We start from the raw sequence: 24,228 nt of genomic DNA on the forward strand, positions 1-24,228 counted from the left end.
GTCCAGGTATAGGAATAACAATCTCACATTTGGGCTCGGCCCAGAAATGAGAATCACAATCCCTCCTGTGGGATGGGTATTCCTATGGGAACACTTCTAAGTGTGCAAATGAAAGGAAGTGTCGCTTGTCCTTCACTTTAAATCAAAAGCTAGAAAGGATTAAGCTTAATGAGGAAGACATATCGAAAGCTGAGATAGGCTGAAAGCTGGACCTCTTGAGCCAAATAGTTAGCCAACTTGTAAATGCTAAGAAAATATTCTTGGAGGAAATTGAAAGTGCTACTCTAGTGAACACATGAATGATAAGAATGAAAAACAGACTTACTGCTATGGAGAAAGTTTGAAAGGTCTAGATAGAAGATCAAATCAGCCACAACATTCCCTTAAACCAAAGCCTAATCCAGAGCAAGGCTCAACTCTCTTCAATTCTGTGAAGTCTGAGAGATGTGAGGAATCTGCAAAAGAGAAATTTGAAGCTAGCAGAGGTTGGTTCACGAGGTTTAAGGAAAGAATCATTTCCATACATAAAAATGCAAGGTAAAGCAGCAAGTGCTGATAGAGAAGCTGCAGCCAGTTAACCAGAAGATCTGGCTAAGATCACAGATGAAGGTGGCTGCACCAAACAATGGATTTTTAATGGAGACAAAAGAGCCTCCTGCTGGAAGATGACATCTTGGACTTTCATAGCTAGAGAGAATTCAGTGACTGGTTTCAAAACTTCAAAGGACAGGCTGACTCTCTTGTTGGGGGCTAATGCAGTTTATAACTTTGCATAGAAGCCAATGCTCATTTAGCATTCTGAAAATCCTAGGGCCCTTAAGAATTATGTTAAATCTGCAGTGCTTGTGCTCTATAATTATATGGAATAACAAAACCTGGATGATAGCACATCTGTTTATAGCATGGTTTATTGAATATTTAAGTCCACTGTTGAGATCTTCTGCTCAGACGAAAAGATTCCTTTCAAAATATTACAGCTCATAGCAATGAGCAATTCATCTGGTCACTCATAGAGCTCTGATGAAGATGTACAAGGAGATTAATGTTACTTTTGTGCCTGCTAACATAACATGCATTCTGTAGCCCAGGGATTAAGGAGTCATTTTGACTTTAAAGCCTTATTATTCAAGAAATGCATTTTGTAAGGCTATAGCTGCCATAGATAGTGACTCCGATGGATCTAGGCAAAGTAAATTGAAAACCTTCTGGAAAGGATTTGTCATTGTATTGTATTGTATTGTATTGTATTTTTGAGATGGAGTTTTGCTCTTGTCGCCCAGGCTGGGTGCAGTGGCGCAATCTGCCTCCCAGGCTCAAGTGATTTTCCTGCCTTAGCCTTCCAAGTACCTGGGATTACAGGCACCCACAACCACACCCGGCTAATTTTTTTTTTCCCAGGAGAGACAGGGTTTCACCATGTCGGCCAGGCTGATCTCAAACTCCTGACCTCTGGTGATCTGCCCGCTCGGCCTCCCAAAGTGCTGGGATTACAGGCATGAGCCACTGCACCCGGCAGATTTGTCATTTTAGATGCCATTAAGAACATTCATGATTCATGGGAGAAGGTCAAAATATCAACAGTAACTGGAATTTGAAATAAGTTGATTCCGACCCTCATGAATGACTTTGAGGGTTTAAGACTTCAGTGGAGGGAGTAACATGGTAAATGTGGTGAAAACAGCAAGAAAACTAGAATTAGAAGTGAAGCCTGAAGATGTGACTGAATTGCTGTGATCTCATGAAAAAACTTTAATGGATGAGAAGTTGCATCTTATGGATCAGAAAAGGAAGCAGTTTCTTGAGGTAGAATCTACTCCTGGTGAAGATGCCATAAACATTGCTGAAATGACAACAAAGGATTTAGAATATTATTAGTTAATAAAGCACCAGGAGGGTTTGAGAGGACTGACTCCAATTTTAAAAGAAGTTCTACTGCTATCAAACAACATAACGTGCTACAGAGAAATCTTTCATGAAAAGAAGAGTCAATCAATGTGGCAAACTTCACTGTGGTCATATTTTAAGAAATTGCTTTAGCCGCCCCAGTCTTCAGCAATCGTCACTCTGATCAGTTAGCAGCCATCAACATTGAGGCAAGACTTTCCACCAGGACAATGTTTAGGACTTGCTGAAGGCTCAGATAATTGTTAACATTTTTAGCAAGAAAATATTTTTAATGAAGGTATGTACATTTTTTAGACATAATGCTATTATTGCACACTTAATAGACAACAGTATAGTGTACTCGCAACTTTTACATGCACTAGGGAACCAAAAAATTCTTTTGACTTGCTTTATTGCAATCTTATATTATTACGGTGGTCTGGAACTGAATTTACAATATCTCCTAGGTATGCCAGTATGTGAAAATGCTCTGAAAAAATTAAACCCCATTCGAAGATCAGCTCTTTCACCAAGATTGCGCCACTGCACTCCAGCCTGGGTGACAGAGCAAAACTCAGCCTCAAAACAAACAAACAAACAAACAAACAAACAAACCAAAGATGAGCTCTTTCTTATTTTGGAAAAGCCACATGACATACTTAAAAAAAAGTTACAGACCTGGGTTCAAATCCTAAAGAGTAAACAGACAATAACTGTTTGCTTCATTATTCTTTTCCCTTCCATAATGTCTGTATTCAGGCAGGAGGGATGGATTGGTCATTAACTAAAGGGAAAGCAGTGGGATGGTTAATGACAGATGCTGTGTAATCTTCCATCCCTGAGATCATCTGAAGTGTATGCCTACAGTCTGTCTGGGAACTTCTACAGCACTTTGTGAAATCTCACTTGAAGTCTCAGTAATTCATTACAAAGCCTAATTATGCAAGTAGCAGCCGCAGACTGTCAGCTGACCAAGCTGGTGATTGAAATCCTTCTGGTTGGCTGATAAAGTTCTGTCTGGAGTTTTGTTTACCTTTTGGATTACTGTGATTTGTGATTTCTAGTTCAATACTTTTTTTTTCTTAAGTCAGAGAAGAGGTTTTAAATTTTTTTTTCAAAATTGTCTTATAAAACTGCTTGTCTCCATTTCTGTGTGTGTGTGTTTCACACACTTGCTGTGTGTGTGTGTGTTTCAGTCAAGCAATTTTTTTTTCTTTCTAAAGGAGCCAAACACCGAACATGTCCCAGCCTGCAGCTCACATGTTTTCCTTTTGCCTGTTTTGTCTTAACGTTAGGGAGCTGGGCCTGTGGTCAGTCAACTGTATGGCTTTTAGGTGCAGACATTCTATACAGAAACAGGAAGAGATACTCTGAAATTAAATTGCTAACAAAGATGAGACTCATTTTGTGGAATCTGGAATTTTGGAATGCTTCCTGTCATGTTGATTCGACAGGCTTTGATTCTTAGAGTCTTACAGTCTCTAGGGAGAAAGCCCCAGTCCAAGTTCCCAGCCACCCCGGGTGTGCATCAGATCTCTCATACTGTGAATTCCCAGAGTTGTGAGGGGCCGCCAAAAAGATGCCATCCTTGTTCTAGCTGCTAGGACATTGCTGAGACATAAGGAGCTCATTTTTTGTTTGTTGAACAAACACATGGATTAACATCTTAAGTACCTTCTCTAGGTCTGGAAAGCAGAGAATGGGTTGGAGGGTTGGAAATGTTATTCCTTTGTAGATCCAAACATTCTACTAGTATACTTTGCTGTTCCCTTTTTTGTCCCCCTCCCCAGCCCCCGCTTTTTTTTTTTTTTTAAATAAGGGAGAGGGAAAATAGTTTCTTAATTTTTACTTTAAAAAAATTCTAATGCTTTTGTATTTGGCACATTTCACCTTAGGAAATTGCAATATTAATGAAATTGCTTTATTTATTTTAATATGAATCACACGAAGTGACTTATTTTTAGGTTGTATGTTCTTGACAGGTAAGCCTTTTCTGAAATAAATGTCTATAATGAATTTTTTAGCTTAGGACATGTGAAACCAACATTTCAAACATTTGTTTGAGAGGCAAGAGTTATACTCCAGTTACCCCTGCTGACCCGGGGGAGGGAAGTCAGAACCACCAGACCCCTGTGGCTTTTCACAAGAAAATGAGGACAGAGGATCTGGCAGATAGGAGGTGGGTGGTCAAAAGATTAGAGTCACACTACTGTTTTGCCACTACACGCTTTTGCTTCTTTTAAACTTTCTGCTTCATGGAACTAGAAAAAAAGCTAATGACTATGGTTTAATGTCAACAACTCTGAAAGAAAAATAATTTCATTCAAACCCAGATTAAAACACACCACTTAATGTAAAGAGCAATCAGTTTTATCGGCTAAGTTTTTTAAAAGGTCAACTTTAAGAAATATTTCTTTCAGTTAAAATAAATTAGATAAAGGTAAAAAATATGCTGAAAATTAAAATCACACTGTTGCTGAAATGTGGAAAAAGACAGCATGTCAGAGTTGTGGTCCTCAGTTATTTTATTTCAAGGTAGACTTGGGAAGTAAAGAAAATGTTCAAAACTTCTGGGCTCTGTGCAGCAACATAACTATCAAAAAAGGCCATACTACTGCAAAGTACAATGAAGGTCACTTCCACAGAGATCACAAAGCCCTCATTTGGACATAACAGAAATGTAATTTTAGTAATAATCAAAAGCATTTTTGATAAAAATTATAACAACTGTATTTAAAATGCAAAGCAAAATGACAATTTAATAAACAGATTTTCAACATATTACATTAAAATTTTAAGCAAACAGAATGAGTTTCATCCTGATTTGCAGAACTCAGCTGATCATACACCTTCTTTTTAAAAAGATCTACTTGAGCTTCTGTGCTGAGTAATGCTGACATTATGACAGTTTGTTGTCTTGTGTCATCCCCTAAATCATTTTTTAGAATTAGTTTTAGTTAAGAAAAAGAACATTCTGTATGATGAGAATTTTGAAAGATAAAATCAACTTGATTCAGAAAAACGTGGAGTCATCTTTAGGTTTCATGAGCATTATGTCATCAAATTCATCAATGGCTTTAATTTTTTCTAATTTTGATTATTTTGCCCAAAGCAGTAATTGCATTGGTGATGATTCTGATAGGTCAGTTTGATGATTTTTATACCATAATTTTCATCTGTTTGATTAACTTAGGTAGGAATAAAGGATGAAAATATGGCTGGCAATTTTACTTGAAATTGTGTGTCCATCTGTGTTGCTACAAAATACATGTAAAGTGATGATTAACAAAGTAGCCTCTTTGTGTGAGAAGTACAAATGTTTGGACAGCTGTATTAATAATAGGCTGAGATAGGCAATACAAAATATTTTAAATAATCATTGAATTTCAGTGGAATTTTAGCTAGGCAAGTATTTCAATGGAGGAAACGTGACTGGAAAATGAATTTTGCCTAGTCTTTAAAATAATGACATTGTTTCCTATGGAATTATGCATGATTGGGCTAGAGTTCTTCTTGGCTAAAAATGGTCAAATACCAAATATAAACCATTGTGATTGCTTCTGGTCTTTGTTGATGACATTCAAGTCTTCTGAATCCTTTTATCTAAAAGTGAAGAGACAGCAAATAGCTTTCAAGAATGATCTCAACTCAAGATAAAAAATATTAACATTATTAAAGTGTAATATTAAATTTCTTAGCTTAGGTGAGTCCTCTACAGAGCACAGACCTTGATGCAAATTATGAGCTCTTCCCACCCACCTCCCCTCCATCTTTCCTCCCTACTTTCCTCTTTCTTTACTGAATATACTGTGTGCCAACCATGTATCAAGCACTGTTCTAGGTGTCAAGGAATCAGTTTAGTTTTGATATCAGTTCTGGTAGAAATAACAATAACAGACCATGCTCAAGATCAGTTTTGAAGAAATCACAGATTACCTATGAACATATAGTTCCAGAGTTAGGTGGGAGTGAGGAATAATAGGCCAAGCCTCTTCAAAAGATATTTCTAGGCTGAGTTTGCCCATAGGAACCCCAGCTCATCTTCTACTGTAGCCATTCACAGATTTCTCAGCCCTGCCTAACCCAGAGACTGAATCATCATTCCTGCTCCCTGAATATAGGCTGTTATTTATTATATCCATGCAGGCAAGGTGAAATCTGGCAGGCAGTAGCTTCCTTTGGAGGGGTTCTCATGTTAGGAGTGACGTGCAAGCCAACAGCAGAGGGTGGGGGATATCTCAGCAATTGCCTGTGTCTCCCAATGCTGCCTGTGCTGTCACTGCAGCCTCCTAGAGAACGAAGTCAATGGGAGGCCACAGGACACTGCCTCTGGAGCAGAAAGGTCTGAGTAGACAGCACGGAAGAGGAAGACAGCCCAGTCTCATAGGTGAACTGACTGGGTCTGCAGTGGCATGGGACCTATGAAAGCTTCAAATTGGAGACATTTTGCCTTTTTATTTCTTTTTATAGAAACAAGAAAGTCAGCTGTGTGGAAGACAATGACTCATATACTTTTGCTGTACTACTTGGTGTTTCTTTTGCCCACAGAGTCCTGTAGGACATTGTATCAGGTAAGAAAAGGGGAAGGAGTGGAGGATGAACTGGTGGGGAAAGCAAATTGGCAATAAAATCCATCAGCTAACCAGCTTTGGGTTACCAGAGAGCTGAAGTATAGGGAAAAGATGGTGATAGAGTGACTGGCCCAGCCAGAAGTAATTGCAACTACAGCTAAACAAAACCCACTTTAACCAATAGCTACACATTGCTTTTCTCTCAACTTTTTTCCATGAGTTCCTGAGATGCAATGAGGCTCAAGTGATTTAAGAGTAATAAATACTTTGTTCTATATCTTCTGATAGTGAATGTTTCAGTTGCTCATAACCAGGGTGGTACCATTTCCTGGGGGCACTTGAAAATGTGGAGGTGTTAAGGGTTGCCATAATGACCAGGAGGTATTAGTGGCATTTAGAGGCAGGGCCTAGGAATGGCCTGGCACAATGAAGCATTGTCCCATCCAAAATGGCAACAGCATCTCCCATAAGAAACCTGATAGTGAACACCATGAATGGGCTAGAAGAAGCAATGAGCAACTCAGGCAGTGGTTAAACAAGGTCTCACTGGGACGGAGTTTCTGGCAATGGACTCTTTTAAATTTTGTAGGACGGAGGCCCTATGGCTCTTTCTGAAATATTTTTCCTGACACCATAAGTCATTTTAATTTCCCTGTTAGTTACTCATTTAAAATAAGTTGTAGAGGAGCACAGAGAGAGGATACATGAAAACATTTTGAGCATCTTCTGAAGAGAGTACTATTATTTGACCACAAGTTCTGGAAGGCAGCTTTGAGATCAACTGGTGAAGCTCCACTCCCTTATTTTGCGGTTAGGGAGATGGAGACCCATGGTGTGGGATGTGATTTGCTTGAGGTACGTACTTACTCAGTTACAGGGCCAAGGCCAGAACCTCTGTTTTCAGATTCTCGGCTTCTTGATCTTTCCATTTTAATATATGTCTTCTTAACAAAAGCCTCTTAGGAAAAAAATGACTTTGGAAGTTCCTTCCAAGAGTTTTTCAAATGATATTTACTTTATCCTCAAGTTAGTTTGTCTTTGCATGGGAATCTTCTCCATGGCTCCCCTTCCCCACTAATACTAAACAGGTACCTGGTTTCCGGGAGAAGTTAGAGACTCTTGGAAAGACCATTTCCTGAAGGCTGTCCAACCCTACAGCTTGTTACTATTTCCTCCCTTCATTCCATTTCCGCATTCACACTTTTCTGCAAGACAGAATGTGGACAGTAGGCAGAGCATGGGAGGTTGGCTTTGTTTCTCTTGATCATTGGGATTTACCTTACTGGGAACATTCTATCCTTCTCTTCTCATTAGACAAGCTGCTGGGTGCTGAGCTGCTGAGTTGCTGATGCTGCTGGCTCCTGACCTGCCTATGCTCCCAGGCAGCTCAGCAGGTTGAGCAGGTTGCCGGTTTGCAAGTATCTTTTTTTCACAGTATTAGGTTGGGGACTGTTGGTATCCAAAGCTAAAGTGATCTATACTGGATGCTACACTAGAAATGAAATAACCAAAGGAGTATGCGATGTGCTTTGGCAAACTTAGATGGGAAGAAATTAATCAGGTCCTTTCCTTAAGAAGCCCAAGTTTTCAGAACTCCAAGTAAACAGAATATCATGGCTTTCTGCCCACATACATGATAAATATAATGTGACTTCACTTGGATGTGTTTAATGGACCAAGTATCATCCAGAGTTGTTGACTTATAACTGCATTTATCACAATGTATTGAAGAACATGGTCTTATCGAGATGGGTTTTGAGTATCTTGAGATGCCTATGTTTCCTTCCACTCGTCCCCTCTGCCTATTGCACTTGAACATAGGCCGGCTGTTTAGAAAAGGCAGTATTGTAGGAATCAGGAGATCTAAGTTCTCGTCCTAGCTGTAAGGGGCATTTCCTACATGGCCTTGTGCAAATCACCACAACATCAAGCCTCATTTTCCTTAACTGTAAAATAAGAGGGCTGGATTGGATGATATATAAAGTCTTCCAAAATTCTGAAGATATTATTTTAGCGTTCTTGTTTGGTGCAAGAACTTTAATTCTTCCACGTATAAGATAAGGCTTGATTCTCTGGACTATAAAATGAGAAGTCATCTTCTGTCAGTGATTTCTCATGTATGAATCCTCAGTGATACTTTCTTGACTTTGGAGAGATCCCAAAAGCTCAATTCAGATTCCCCATAAGTTCTTATTTGGTAGAGAAAAGAGGGAATATTCAGCCTTGTTTCTTGATAACATAGAGAGAAGTAAGGTTGTGAAGAAGAACCCCATGAGTTGGCATGAACCCCAAGAGTTAGTCACAGAGCTATGTTAGTGAATTTCCAATTTCTTCCTCAATGGATTAGAACTTGGAACTCAAGTTGGAGTAATTGGGTTAAGGCTCTTCTCAGCCACTAGGAAACACTATTCCAGTGCAGAAGCAAGAAAACCGTCTTTTTGTCGCTCCTCACACACACATACACACATGAACATATATGTCAGTATATATATGCATACTAAAATGTATATATGCATACACACATATGTACAAGACACTGAACTAGCTACTTGGAGGAATATACTGGAGCACAATACACAGTCCATGTTCTTAAGGAACTTGTAATTTAATTGAGGAGCTAATATGCTTCTACAAAAAAGATTAGATAGCAAAATGGCAGGTCAGGTGAGAACATGCCAAGCATTGAATGTGTGTTTGGCTGTATGGATGATGATTCCTATAGGAGCCAGAAGAAAAGATGTATCATGTGCAGAACTGGATCAGGAAAGACCTCTTGGAAGGGGGAAACTTGAGCTTTGTATGTAACTGAAATTCAGTAAGTTTATGTGCAGAGTAATAACAGTAGTAAATTCTTAAATAGACTTACAGTATTCTTAGAGCCCATTCCTAGTGCTTTTCATAGAAGAGCTCGTCTATTCCTCATAAACATGCTCTAGGGCAAGAATCATACAATTATAGTACTATAGTTCTTACTCTACTTTATGGAAGAGGAAACTGAAGCTCAGAGGGATCAACTTTCCCAAGGTCTCAAATGTTGGTGTTGAGATTTGAACCCAGGTTGTCTACTCCCAGAGTACATCCCTTGACCACTATGTGACACTTTCTTAGTGAAAGGTCGGGTATGGTCTCGATGGATGGGACAAAGAGGGGGTTCTAATTAGGAGTGATGGAGATGCTCACGGTATGGGGGAGCTAGGTTTTGGAGGAGTCCTCCTAAGGAAAAAGAATGCAATGTTACAAATACAAAACTAAGGGGAAAGTGAACATTTATTTAGAATGAGAAAAGGAATCACAACAAATTTAGAAATGCTGGATAGTATTGTTTAGCATTGTTTAGTAATAAAACAATATTTTTATTAATGAAATGCCCACCTTTTAGTTCTTACATTTTTGACTGCATACTTGCATGATCTTATAATTTTTTTCTATAGAGAGAATAGAAATATTATTCAGTCTTTCCTGCAGCATTATTGATCAAATTTTTTTTCTTGTTATTGCTAGTTTAGAGAAGTATCTTTGAGTTTCTAATTTATTATTAGTAATGGCATGTAAACATGTAGGACTGTTATCAAATTTGGGAAAATTCTATCCAATTTATTTCAAATGTGAGCTGCAAGATATCAGGCAACTTAGAATTTTCTTGTTCTGTGAATAATTGTAAATGTTCTTAGCATTGATGTCACTTAAGTGTTGATGTTCTCACTGTAATGCAGAAGTGACTGGAAACTACATAAGTATATCCGACTAAATTCAAACTAAATGTATCCCAGCTTAACTTGTCCAGAATCCATGAATAGATACGGCTTCTCTGGTGATACCCAAAATGAGGGAGAGTATGAAGGAGGCAGAACACTGAAATGGCAAAAAATGATGATCTTAACAGATGGCAGGTAGTTAAAACATTTTGCTTTTGAGAATTTAATAAAACATATGATCATGTGAACACATGAGATGATCTGCTCATTGAGCATGAGGGGAGAGCAATCTGCTCATTGCTAGACCCTCTCCCAGGGCTTCAAAATGTCCCATACGAGCAAGGGACTCTGAGGCTTAACCTTTGTCAACTTCCTGGTCAATCCACTTCTGCTCATAATGTGTTTCCTGGATAGAACATAGACTTTTCTTACTGGAGAGAGAGGAGTGCTCATACTGAGTAGCAGTGGGAGAGGAATGTGGTCCAGGCTGAAGGGAAAATGGGGTCACAGAGGAGCCATAATTCATGGACTCGGCTTTGGGTGGGCCATGCTGGTATCATAGCTAATTTAACTGTGGTTGTTTGTGACTAAAGTGAGCCATTGGGCTGGCATATCAACAATTGATTTTGATGCGAGTTTTGATTTTCCCTTTCTAGGCTGCAAGCAAAAGCAAGGAGAAGGTGCCTGCCAGGCCACACGGTATGTTGGCAGCAGTTACTTATCACATGGAAGTTTTGCTGTCCATCTATTGTAATAGAGGGCCATTCTCAGCCTTCTGTCCTGTGGCATGGCAGATGGAATCCTTGATGACTCTGATTTTTTTCCTTCATATTAAATTGTACCTTTGTGGTTTTTTTCTTTTTGACTTTTATGTTTGGGGGTACATGTGCAGGTTTCTTACATTGGCAAATTGTGTATCACTGGGATGTGGTGTACAAATGATCCCGCCCAGGTAGTGAGCATAGTACCAGGTAGTAAATTGTACGTTTCACCCCAGCCCTGTTCCTCTCTCCTCCCAGCACCCTCTGCTCCATCTTTGTCTAAGAATTCTTTGCCATAGATCCTTTGGATTGAGCCCATTCAAACTGGGCCAGTGGCTAGAACAGGTCTGTGAGAACTCATTGATGATGTAACATATTATAGAGTTCCTGAGCTGAGAGGCTTCTTAGCAAACATTGGAAGCAGTGGATTCCAACTAGTGGACTGCACTGTGGGTTCGTTCCTCTCACTTCACCTGGGACAGTCCTTTTTTGTTTGTTTGTTTGTTTTTTAGACAGAGTCTCACTCTGTCTCCCAGGCTGGAGTGCAGTGGCACAATATTGGCTCATTGCAACCTCCACCTCCTGGGTTCAAGCGATTCTCCTGCTTTAGCCTCCTGAGTAGCTGGGATTACATGCACGTGCCACTACACCCAGCTAATATTTTGTATTTTTAGTAGACATGGGGTTTCACCATGTGGCCAGGCTGGTCTCGAACTCCTGACCTCGTGATCCGCCCACCTCGGCCTCCCAAAGTGCTGGGATTACAGGCATGAGCCACCGCACCTGGCCGTGTTCCACTTTTATCTATTTTACACACTACAGTTCAGGATAAGATTTTGTTGGAAACAATAAAATTTTGTTGCTGAAATAGATGATGACCACTGATCCATTTCAGTCTTCCTCCACTTTAGGAAAAGAAGACACTGATGTCTGCAGGATTTATGTGCTGTCACTGCAGTGACACCTTGGTGATTGGCCCAGTGGGCCCAGAGCCCAGACCTTCCCATCTGATATGGTCTCCTTTCATTTTCCCAGGTGTATGCGATGGTGTCTGTACAGACTACTCCCAGTGTACTCAACCTTGCCCTCCAGACACTCAGGGAAATATGGGGTTTTCATGCAGGCAAAAGACATGGCACAAGATCACTGACACCTGCCAGACTCTTAATGCCCTCAACATCTTTGAGGTAATATCTTTTCTTTTGCAATATAGATTCTAATGTGGACTCTATGAGCACAGTGGAGCCTCCCATTGGCAGTGGATATTGCCCTCAGTAAGAAAGAGGACGACCATGTAGCAGGGCAGCATGTAGGGATGGGCGAATAGATAAGCACCCACTAGCCTCACTTTCTATGCAAAAATAGCCTTCTAAACTTTGGGTATCTGAAAGTCTGTGCCCATGGACACCTGGCCATGTGAAGGGGCAGGCTGCAGGAGGGCCAGAAGGGAGTCCTCTAAAGCAAGGGTCAGCAAACTTCTGGAAAGTGACAGAGAGAAATATTTCAGGCTTTGTGGGTCACATGGTCTCTGTCATGCCTACTCAACTCTGCCATTGTAGCATGAAATCAGCTGTAGACAGTATTTAAATGAATGGGCGGGCTGCATTCCAGTAAAACCTTATTTACAAAAACCAGGCAGCCAGCCTGGGTCTGTAGTTTGCCACCCCTGCCGTAAAGTGTAGGAACCAGAGTCTGAATCTATGGGAGATACTTTCTATTGCTATTTTCAATCTTGGTGTTCCAGTTGATTCATCCAACTCGAGTTTCAAATTTCTATTTTTAAGACAGACTCATGGCTCATGATTTGCCCTTCATAAATATTACAAATAAGCTTAAATGCCACTAGAAATTTCTATATATACAGGTTATCTGAAGAGATATGCTGAAGATAACAGTTGTTATTCGGAGAGAGGGGAGTTAAGGAATAGGTAGATGGGAAGGAGGGACTTTTATTTGCTGGTTCATACAACTTGGTATTGGTCAAGTTATTTCACAGCAGATGTGACTCTGAGAGTGTAAAATAGAAAAACATTATGTTAGGCTGTCCTAAGTTTTAGTAAAGGTACTTTTACATTTAACACAAAAATAAAATATAAAAATTTCTTTCTTTTTCTATATTGTAGGAGGATTCACGTTTGGTTCAGCCATTTGAAGACAATATAAAAATAAGTGTATATACTGGAAAGTCTGAGACCATAACAGATATGTTGCTACAAAAGTGTCCCACAGATCTGTCTTGTGTAATTAGAAACATTCAGCAGTCTCCCTGGATACCAGGAAACATTGCCGTAATTGTGCAGCTCTTACACAACATATCAACAGCAATATGGACAGGTGTTGATGAGGCAAAGATGCAGGTGAGTGTCCCTGAATAGTTGGTAGAGCATTATCTCAGTGGGAAAGGAATGCAGGTTTGTTGGAGTATTCTGTGAGCTTCTTAGGGACTAGGAACCATGTCTTTCACATCAGTATTTCTAATGTTTAGCAAAGCAAGTGTTCAGTAAATCTTCATTAAAGAAAGGATGAATAAGTGAATGGAAAAAGTAAACATTTAATCAACAAATATTTATAGAGAGCACTTACTTGGTACTGTATTGAACTTTGGAGTATGAGTTACCGATGTATCTTTTGGCTACTGAATACATTTAAGAAACATTCTATGTTCTGGAGAGAGAAAGACTCTTCTTATTTTCATTTGTGAGTCAGGATAGGTTGCTAAAATGGAAAATAATTGAAGGCAAAGAAAACAGCCATACCTATCCACTGCAGAAGCATGAAATAGAACGGGGTCCATTTTGCTTGGTTTTAATCTTCAAAGCAAAGATAGTAAAAAGTAGATTCAGACTCCAGGGTGAATTTCCAATTTATTATGTTCTTGTATAGGGCCCTGCAACACATTTGGGATGCAACAGAGGTTAATCACGTGATAGGTTCTCTGAGCAGGGTAAGCAAGTTGCTAGTTTCGACTAGGTGTGATATGGAGGGGATGATGGACATGAGCATGTGGAAAGCTGCCCAGTGGCCTGGCTCGCAGGAGGCCATTGCATAAATGGAGAAGGGCATGGTGAGGCAATTCCTTTGTAGCTCTATCATCTAAGTCAAACTTCAGTGTACATGCAAGTCACCTGAGTATCTTATTAAGATGCAGATTCTGATTCATTAAGTCTGGGGTGGGGCCTGAGATTCTATATTGCTAAGAAGTTCCCAGAGTATGCCTAGGTTGCTGATTGGAGAAGCACGCTTTATAAAGGTGAGTGTTGAATGTGCTGGCAGTTTCAGAGAGTGGCTCAGTACTAACACTGGTTCTTCATTGGCAGAGTTACAGCACCATAGCCAACCACATTCTTAACAGCAAAAGCATCTCCAACTGGACTTTCATTCCTGACAGAAACAGCAGCTATATCCTGCTACATTCAGTCAACTCCTTTGCAAGAAGGCTATTCATAGATAAACATCCTGTTGACATATCAGATGTCTTCATTCATACTATGGGCACCACCATATCTGGAGATAACATTGGAAAAAATTTCACTTTTTCTATGAGAATTAATGATACCAGCAATGAAGTCACTGGGAGAGTGTTGATCAGCAGAGATGAACTTCGGAAGGTGCCTTCCCCTTCTCAGGTCATCAGCATTGCATTTCCAACTATTGGGGCTATTTTGGAAGCCAGTCTTTTGGAAAATGTTACTGTAAATGGGCTTGTCCTGTCTGCCATTTTGCCCAAGGAACTTAAAAGAATCTCACTGATTTTTGAAAAGATCAGCAAGTCAGAGGAGAGGAGGACACAGTGTGTTGGCTGGCACTCTGTGGAGAACAGATGGGACCAGCAGGCCTGCAAAATGATTCAAGAAAACTCCCAGCAAGCTGTTTGCAAATGTAGGCCAAGCAAATTGTTTACCTCTTTCTCAATTCTTATGTCACCTCACATCTTAGAGAGTCTGATTCTGACTTACATCACATATGTAGGCCTGGGCATTTCTATTTGCAGCCTGATCCTTTGCTTGTCCATTGAGGTCCTAGTCTGGAGCCAAGTGACAAAGACAGAGATCACCTATTTACGCCATGTGTGCATTGTTAACATTGCAGCCACTTTGCTGATGGCAGATGTGTGGTTCATTGTGGCTTCCTTTCTTAGTGGCCCAATAACACACCACAAGGGATGTGTGGCAGCCACATTTTTTGTTCATTTCTTTTACCTTTCTGTATTTTTCTGGATGCTTGCCAAGGCACTCCTTATCCTCTATGGAATCATGATTGTTTTCCATACCTTGCCCAAGTCAGTCCTGGTGGCATCTCTGTTTTCAGTGGGCTATGGATGCCCTTTGGCCATTGCTGCCATCACTGTTGCTGCCACTGAACCTGGCAAAGGCTATCTACGACCTGAGATCTGCTGGCTCAACTGGGACATGACCAAAGCCCTCCTGGCCTTCGTGATCCCAGCTTTGGCCATCGTGGTAGTAAACCTGATCACAGTCACACTGGTGATTGTCAAGACCCAGCGAGCTGCCATTGGCAATTCCATGTTCCAGGAAGTGAGAGCCATTGTGAGAATCAGCAAGAACATCGCCATCCTCACACCACTTCTGGGACTGACCTGGGGATTTGGAGTAGCCACTGTCATCGATGACAGATCCCTGGCCTTCCACATTATCTTCTCCCTGCTCAATGCATTCCAGGTAAGTCCAGATGCTTCTGACCAAGTGCAAAGTGAGAGAATTCATGAAGATGTTCTGTGATTAGGTGCTTGTGACATTAGATTTCTACATAAAAGCCAATGGATTTGGAATAGCATATGGAGTGGGGAAATAAACTTTTGTTCCAGAGATACCTGGATTTGGATCCTGACTCTTTCATTTACTAATAATGTATAACATGATCTTGGGATATTTACTCAACTTTTTTCAAGCCATATTTTCCTCACATATAAAATGAGTGCAATACTGTTCACTTTATAGGGGTGTTTGGAAAGTGAAATTAAATGGTGAATGGGAAAGGATCAAGTACTAAAATGATCTAAAGACCATAGACAGCCTAGTAATAGGCTAAGTTGTTATGGTTTAAAAATTAAGCAATAACACCTTCCCCAAAATTTAGGTATGTAGCTGGAGGTATTAAAGTTTGCACATTTATTACATTTCCTTCCACTTAGGATTTTTAACTACCATTGGAAACCATCTTATTTTAACATGGCAAGCTCTACAGAGAGGTATTGAAGATAGTTTCTCCTCTCTTCTCTTATCACACTTAGATGAATTAAGCAACGTTCACAGTTTCATGTGTATGCTTTGCCAAATTTTCTATGCTTATACAAACATATTTTCACATAACACGGGTTAAAACAATGTATATTATTGTGTAACTTGCTTTTGCACTTAAAAATATGCTCTAGAATTTTACCAGCTCATTATGCATGAATATTTCTCTAATGGCTGCATACCATTCCATATTCAATAATTTCCTTCTTGATTGAAATTTTTCTCCATTGTTTTGTGTTATAGTATGTGAATGATCCAAAGTTTATTATATTGAATGTTAATATGTAGATAGTAACTAATTGAAAAGAAAGCTTTTATTTTTCTAAAGATATCTAAAACACTGTCTTTTTTTCTGAATGTGTGCGGTAGCCAGTAGGACTATTTTCAAGTAAATGCTTTACCTAATTGCTAATAGATATCTTAAGTCAAGTATCTTCTCATTTTCCCTTTTCAGAATTTATGTATAAATGATTTCACTTTATAATAAATGCTTTGATGTCTTGAAGAGCAATGTTAATAATAATAGGGGTATCTCATATTTTGAGTCTCTACTTTTTTTGCACTTCTATAGAAAATATTAATTGTATTCTACATTTGTATAGCTTTTGGTACTTATCAGTTGCTTTACGCATGTTTACAAAACTAGTCATTGAAAAGACTTGGGTAAAACCCCTATTTTTCATAAACCCCTCATGAGCTCATGACTCATTCCACACCATTTTCCTTCTCTTGTCTCCCTTAGGGCCATCTTATCTGTGAGCTTTGTTTTGGACAAGGCTGTGAGCACTTGCATTTTGATATCATGAGCACCTTTATCTGTCATAATAGGATCACTTGTGCTTTCAATTTAGTTTCTGCCTTGAATCCCAGTAAGGAACAGGGAGGGGTCTATCTAAGCGCCAGTACAGATGGGGCAGTGAGGAGCTGAGAACAAAGTGTCAGTGAGGCCCAGTGGGGGGCACTGGGCAGTGCTGTGTTGGAGCTGGCCTGTATTGGCTCACGGGAGCTGCCAATTATATTTTCACAATTGTTCTGAGCTGGTTGTGAAGACAGTCATCAATAACAATTAAATCATATAGACTTGCAATTAAACAAATTAGGTTAAAAGTAAAGGTCATGTATCCTCAGAACTCATCACTTCCTAATTATTTGTCTACCTTTTCTCTTGAGGTTACTTGCCTCTATTGTGTCTGCATGGTGGAAAATCTGTACAACGATGTGCTACTGCCCATCTCTTCCTAAATCCATGCTCAGCGATGTCACAGGGCAAGATTCAAATAGGCCATGGTGGGTGTAATTAACTATAGAGATTGGCAAACACTACAAATGAGGAGAGTTTATTGCCATTTACTAGCATATCACTGGATCAGAGCATCCACTGAGGGAGGAGAGAGAGGAGCCATGGATCTACTGAGATGGGAGACTCAACCAACTGGGTGGAAAAAGCAGGAGAAGTGCAGTCTTAGGATGAGAAGAGATGAGGGGCAGCAGCAGAGGCTGATGGAGCAGACAGAGGGGAGCGATTCTGAAACATATTGAGAAGCCCAGATGATGTGGGAGGAAGACTCCTGTAAAGATTTCCTGGTCCTAGCCCCAGGGGAATATCTGCACTAGTTTTAAAGCTCAACCATCCCCTTTACTATAGAGGTTTTATTATGGTGTCAGTTGCTGCCTCGATTAACCGCCTTGTTCATCCATAACTTCTGGTTGGCATCCTACTCTTGTATTTACTGAGAATAATTGTGGGCTGGGTGAGTTTTTGGGACTCCCTCATAGCTGTTTTTGTGGGAAAAAAAATAAAGCACATATACCAAAACCTGGGAGAACACCTTGAGATTTACCTGTCCAAACTGTGCTTTACCTACTAAAAGAAGTGCAAAGAAGCTGCTACTGGTGAATTGTTTGTTAGGTATATTCTCTCTTCCCTTCTCAACCAGATACTAAACTTTATGGCCAATTTTTTTATCCAAATCTTCTGAAAGATATTTGACATAACTTTCTCTAAGGTGGCATGGACCGACAAAAAGTGATCCTAGTGGAGTATTTCCCTGTTACATGTTTATAAAGTCATGTTTATAGTCATGCTACATAACTATAAAAGTGCAGGTTGCATAATAAAGAAATTAAACACATACATACACTCAAATGAAGAGACACTACATTTATTACTTATTTTGTGCAAAGCATTATGCTTAATGTTGCAGATACAAATATAGATAGACCAACCCCAAGGAATTAAAAATCTTATAAGGAGAGAAATTCCTCTTAGTTCTTTAGCCAAAGAATATTAGCCATCAGCATATTTGTGGAAAAAACATGCTAGAATTGTTGTTCCCAGATCTTTAAAAAATATAATTCCTGGGCCAAATTCACAGAGATCCTGACTTGAAATGTATTCCTAGTACCAAAATCAGGCTGGAATATATTTGTCCCAAGGGGCCTTATAAGAATGATAACTTTGCAACCTAATAGACCATGCCAACAATAATTTTTTTTGTAGCAGATACAATAACAGATTTCAATAATTACCTTGTAGGCTCAGAATGTTACACAGAACAATCTCATAAAAGCCATATGGAGATTAAGCTTTTGAGAGTTGGACTGGCTGAAGAGAAAGGTGTATGTTAGTGTGTTTGGGGGGCTGGATTAGCTGCAAGGATGTACACTGGTCCCTGTAAGGTCCTCCACCTCTCATCTGGGCTTTTACCAAATAGCGGTAGGTTTGGTATTGTTCTCAGCGATGAATACCAGGTTGTAACATCTTTATGGTGCCAGCTGTATACAACCCATGCACCTCAACAGGCCTCTGGGTAGGTAAGAGTTCACACTCACTTATGAAGTCAGAGCAGCTTAGCAAGGCTATTCCTAAATAAAAGGTCATGATCTCACCTCCCTTTTCAGATGCACCATGGACGGAGTAACTGCAAATTTAGGAGAAATTTTTGTCTAATGAATGTTCCTGTCTATCACATTTTGAATGCCAAAAAGGAAATTCCTTTTCCTTAACTGAAAAATGGAACTACAACTTGCCCTTCCTTCGTCAAGGGGGGTTTTGTGCCAGTGTATGTGAAAAAGAAGTAAAAACTTCAAATGGACTATAGCTGTAGAGGAACAGCCTGTTTTGGGTTTTATATGGGGTTTTTTTGGTATGGAAAATAAAAGATATAAAAGCTAATTAATTCCTTCTATATCATCATATTGGGAATATTTGTCATGTGCTTAGAAACTCAACCTATTTAATGTCATTAATTTTTTGAGAATGTAAACACTTGACTTTTCTCTAGAAGTTTTATAATATTCTTTGTAGTGGATGAGAGAAGGAGGCTGAAGGTGTTATGGGAAGCTGAGCAACAGCTGTTTCTGCTGTTTTCTGTGGAAGCTTCTCTTACTTATTGTTCAGGGACAGCAAGCCTGCAGTTCATTGCCCAACACCTCTTCTGACTCTTTCTTGGATCATTATATTCAGTTGAGAGGCCCACCTCCTGCTAAGTGCAAACACTTTTAATTTGTCCAACGTAAAAGGAAATTTAAAAAATATTCCTGTATGATGTAGGGACCTTGGTCTCTTTGGTTTACTGAGGTACCTCTACAGTGGCTGCCATATGGAAGACACTCATCAATATTCATTGAATGAATCTAGGTGTTGTGAGCTAAGGATGACAAATTAAGAGATTTCATAAAATTGTTTTCATTTTATTGAAATAGGAATTGGTAATAACTAAGAGTATGTTTTAACATCATGATTCTTTTGTAAATGGCTCTTCTTCCCTCTTCTGTGTTTCCCAGGGTTTCTTCATCCTAGTGTTTGGAACCATCCTGGATCCAAAGGTACTGAATGTAAATTCTTCTTGTTGCTTTTTCTGTATTATCAGTACCTGGCCATGTAAAGACTTGTAAAGGCTATTTATTGAAAAGCTTTCACTTCAGTCATTTGTACAGATGTATGAAGTCTGGATCACTGCTGTTTACAATGCAAATGATATTGACCAGTTTGCAAGCTCTTATGGGAATAAATGTTTTATGTACATTAGGGCTGATTCTTAAAACAATTGTAGGTATTACTATTTTCAATTTTACAGATGAGGAAACTGAGACTCAGAGTGAACAGCTTGCTCAAGATCACTACAGAAACCCACTCTGATTAGTTGAAGCAGAAAAGGAACTTATTAAATCTCACAATATTATCTTTGGGAGGGTCTCTTTGACTTGGAGTTTTGGAGGCTGTACTCCAGGAATACTTACCAATGCACAGCACAGAAATGCTCCACAAGAGATACCATTGCTCTTCCCCACTTTGCTGGGCACAGATAGCACAGCTCGCCAGGCCAATGTCGGGCAGTAAACACTTAAGCCAGAGCTGCTGCTACTGCTGCCTGGGAGATCACCTCAACCTGCCTGACTGGTACACCAGCATCTGCATTTATGCACTGTCATGTCTGATTGGCTGAGTTCAGGTCATGGAGTCATATCTTAGCTGCAAGGTTGGGTGGAAGTGTGAGTTCCTACTTCTATCTTGAATAGCAGTGGAGTCAAGAAAAGAAACTCTTCAAATACAGATGAGTCTTGATAAGTGATAAGCATTGAAGACAAAAACCAAGCAAATGAACAAACCCTCAAATGTTTATTCAGGCTTCTAAGATCACCCTCTTTCCATTGTACCGTACTACCTTCTGGAAAAAGAAAAGCAAACAATCCTCTCAGATATAAAAGCAAAAGCAAACCCCTTCTGTCAATTAAAGTAAATAAATAAATAAAAATGAAAAGGAACACTACCAGGTTGGATTTACAAAACAAAGCAAAAAACCAAACAAAAAACCCCAAACAAACAAAAACATAATCCACTCCCTCCCCCAAACACCCCACCTTCACTGCAGAGTTTGTTTGTTTATTTATTTATTTATGTTTTACTATTTATTTTTTATTTATTTATTTATTTTTTACTAAATAAGAAGAGCACCTGTATTCAGCTGGCAAGACTTAGAGAAAAGGACATGTTAATTTTTTTTTTTTTTGAGACAAGGTTTCACTCTGTTGCTCTGGCTGGAGTGCAGTGGCATCATCACGGCTCACTGCAGCCTTGACCTCTTGGGCTCAGGTGATCCTCCCGCCACAGCCTCCTGAGTAGCTGGAACTACAGACACATGCCACCACACCCAGCTAATTTTTAAACGTTTTTGTAGAGATGGGGTCTCCCTACGTTGCCCAGGTTGGTCTCGAACTCCTGAGCTCAAGGGATACACCCATCTTGGCCTCCCAAAGTGCTGGGATTACAGGAATGAGCTACTGTGTCCAGCCTACTGCCAGTAATATTCTATTATATTAATATCAAAGGTTTGTTAAAAGGTCAGGAGATGGAGACCATCCTGGCCAATGTGGCGAAACCCCGTCTCTACTAAAAAATACAAAAACGTAACTGGGCGTGGTGGCATGAGCGTGTAGTCCCAGCTACTCAGGAGACTGAGGCAGGGAAATTGCTTGAACCCGGGAGGCAGAGGTTGCAGTGAGCCAAGATTGCACCACTGCACTCCAGCCTGGCAACAGAGCCAGTTGGGATGTAGAGATAGTAATGCTTTCTCTGCCTTCTCCATTAGATTATGACAAAGAACAAATGCAATTTTGTAGGTAAAAACGCAAAGCACTTAAGGTATCGCCCAATCATATGCCACAGGATTATGTTTCTATTATTTATAATAACACAACTAGTATCTGTAGCCACAGTACCAGCAGCCACATTTTTACTTAGTTTACCAGTGTTAGGTGAGATGTGCAAAGAACTCCAAGTCATGGAACCTTCTATCAAGATGAAAACCTCTTACCTTTGCAATTGTGATATGAAAGGTAAATACTCCAAAGTGTCACAGGACCATACATGATTCATTGACCAAAAGTTGTATATACCAGTAGTCTTCAAACTTTTAGGATTAGTAAAACACAGTGAGTACATATCCCCAGATGTGTTCATTATTAACCTAAAAAGTGTTACATACATTATGAAACCTAAGAGTAAAAAAGGGTGAGAACAAAGAAATGTAAGTAGAAGTGCCAATGTATCTTCACGGATCCCAATGGGCCCTTGAGCACACCGTCCTCCAACCCTGAGGGGTGGTTTGAGGTCTGTGTGTGACAAAGAATACGGCATCTGCAGGGAAGGGGGAAGCCACCCTGAGCTGGAGGACTTTGGCATATATGAATTGTGAACACAGAACTTCTATAAGGCCTTGGAAGGTGAATAATATTTTGTATAGCAGAAATAAGAAGAGGGCCTGTATTCAGCAGGCAAGACTTAGAGAAAAGGACAGGATGACCTAGTTAGGGAAGAAGAATTTCATGGACTGTTGCTATGTTGTATAGTACTTTTTTCTTTGAGACGGGGTGTCATTCTGTCGCCAAGGCTGGAGTGCACTGGCGTGATCTCAGCTCACTGCAACTTCTGCCTCCTGGGTTCAAGCGATTCTCCTGCCTCAGCCTCTCGAGTAGCTGGGGTTACAGGTGCCCAACACCACGCCCGGCTAATTTTTGTATTTTTAGTAGAGAGGGGGTTTCACTATGTTTACCAGCCTGTTCCCGAACTCCTGACCTCAAGTGATCCACTCGCCTTGGCCTCCCAAAGTGCTGGGATTACATACAGGCATGAGCCACCATGTCCAGTTGTATAGTACTTTTTTTCCTCTAGAAAAGGTGATTTGAATAATTGACAAATTGTGAGAAGTGATTACGGAAGTGCTCCATAAAAATAATGCCAAAGCTAGGGCAGGTGCGGTGGCTCATGCCTGTAATCCCAGCACTTTAGGAGGCCGAGGCAGGCAGATCATGAGGTCAGGAGATTAAGACCATCTTGGCTAACATGGTGAAACCCTGTCTCTACTAAAAATACAAAAATATTAGCCAAGCATGGTGGCACACGCCTGTAATCCCAGCTACTCGGGAGGCTAAGGCAGGAGAATTGCTTGAACCCGGGAGGCGGAGGTTGCAGTGAGCCGAGATGGCCCCACTGCACTGCAGCCTGGATAACAGAGTGAGACTGAATCTCAAGAAAAAAAAAATAGAAGCTATGTCGAGGAATTCTCAAACTTGTGGCAAACTGCATTTCTCAGGCATTGGGTCCATATTTAAGGCCCTGAAAGTGAGTATCCTATGCCATCTCCACCTCTCTTTTCTCTTCCCATCTTTCCACCTTTTCCAAGACTACTCCACCAGAGGTCACTGATGCCACCATATCCCTCCAACAGAACCTAGCTGCTAACACAGTACCTGGCCACAATATCTGCCAGGCCCAAGCATACGTGTTATCTTCTTATGATCTTCTAATTCTTAACTTCTTTTGTTAAATATCCAGATAAGAGAAGCCTTAAAGGGTTGAGTAGCCTCTGCAAAAAGGAGCTCCAGAATATCAGAGGTAAAGCTTTCATATTCATTTTTGTATTTAAAAGTTTAACAAGATAACAATCTTGGAGTTTCTGGCATATGGAGTGTTGCTAACACTCTCACCTTAACACTTTGCAGTGTGGATTTCCCAGAAGTGATGGGTGCCTCTTAAACAGTTGAGATTCTTTCTGGAATATGGGGATGCAAAGAGATGCAAGTGGAGTTACATGAATTTAGAGGAGAGTGACAAGGTGGCTGGCGTTGGAGGGTGAATCTCAAACCACATAGTAGGAGAGCAGGTGATGAAAGAAATGAGAGAAGTCTTAGGTTCCCATGACATCTCACTTGTTCTCTATGACTCCAATCAGTTGGCCCACATCCAAAGTGTAAAAACTCCAGGGAAACAAATTCTGATCCTACACAAAGAACTGCTCAAGAGGGGCCAGCTGCCATGGTACTGAAGTGGCTTAAGTGGGCTTGGGGCCTGCACAGGGTTGCTGTAGAGAAGATTCAGTCATTGGACAGCAGGCTGGACTATAACAGGGTCGTTAACTTATCTTCTATTCCTGTGACTTAGAAACATTGTTTTGTTATGCAAAGAATGAGGGCCATGAACTGTTTTGAGGGAGGGAAAAACTGCCGCTCAATTTTTTAAAAAACTTTTAAATGGCAGCAAAAGGAGATTCAGGGTTGG

The 24,228-nt window shown here is 40.1% G+C and overlaps 1 pseudogene across 2 annotated transcripts in view; it reads left to right on the forward strand.

The window, feature by feature from the left end:
- The window catches only part of ADGRF2P (adhesion G protein-coupled receptor F2, pseudogene), a 41,323-nt pseudogene that overhangs the window by 10,565 nt on the left and 6,530 nt on the right, over window positions 1–24,228 (forward strand). For both annotated transcript variants that reach the window (NR_184444.1, NR_184445.1), the window contains 7 exons: window positions 6,355–6,455; window positions 10,807–10,849; window positions 11,947–12,098; window positions 13,035–13,268; window positions 14,229–15,590; window positions 19,956–19,997; window positions 23,506–23,565. The product of NR_184444.1 is annotated as an adhesion G protein-coupled receptor F2, pseudogene, transcript variant 1 (transcript). The remainder of the gene's footprint in view (window positions 1–6,354; window positions 6,456–10,806; window positions 10,850–11,946; window positions 12,099–13,034; window positions 13,269–14,228; window positions 15,591–19,955; window positions 19,998–23,505; window positions 23,566–24,228) is intronic.

The sequence above is a fragment of the Homo sapiens genome, chromosome 6 (genome assembly GCF_000001405.40).
Source record: "Homo sapiens chromosome 6, GRCh38.p14 Primary Assembly".
Lineage (NCBI taxonomy): Eukaryota > Metazoa > Chordata > Mammalia > Primates > Hominidae > Homo > Homo sapiens.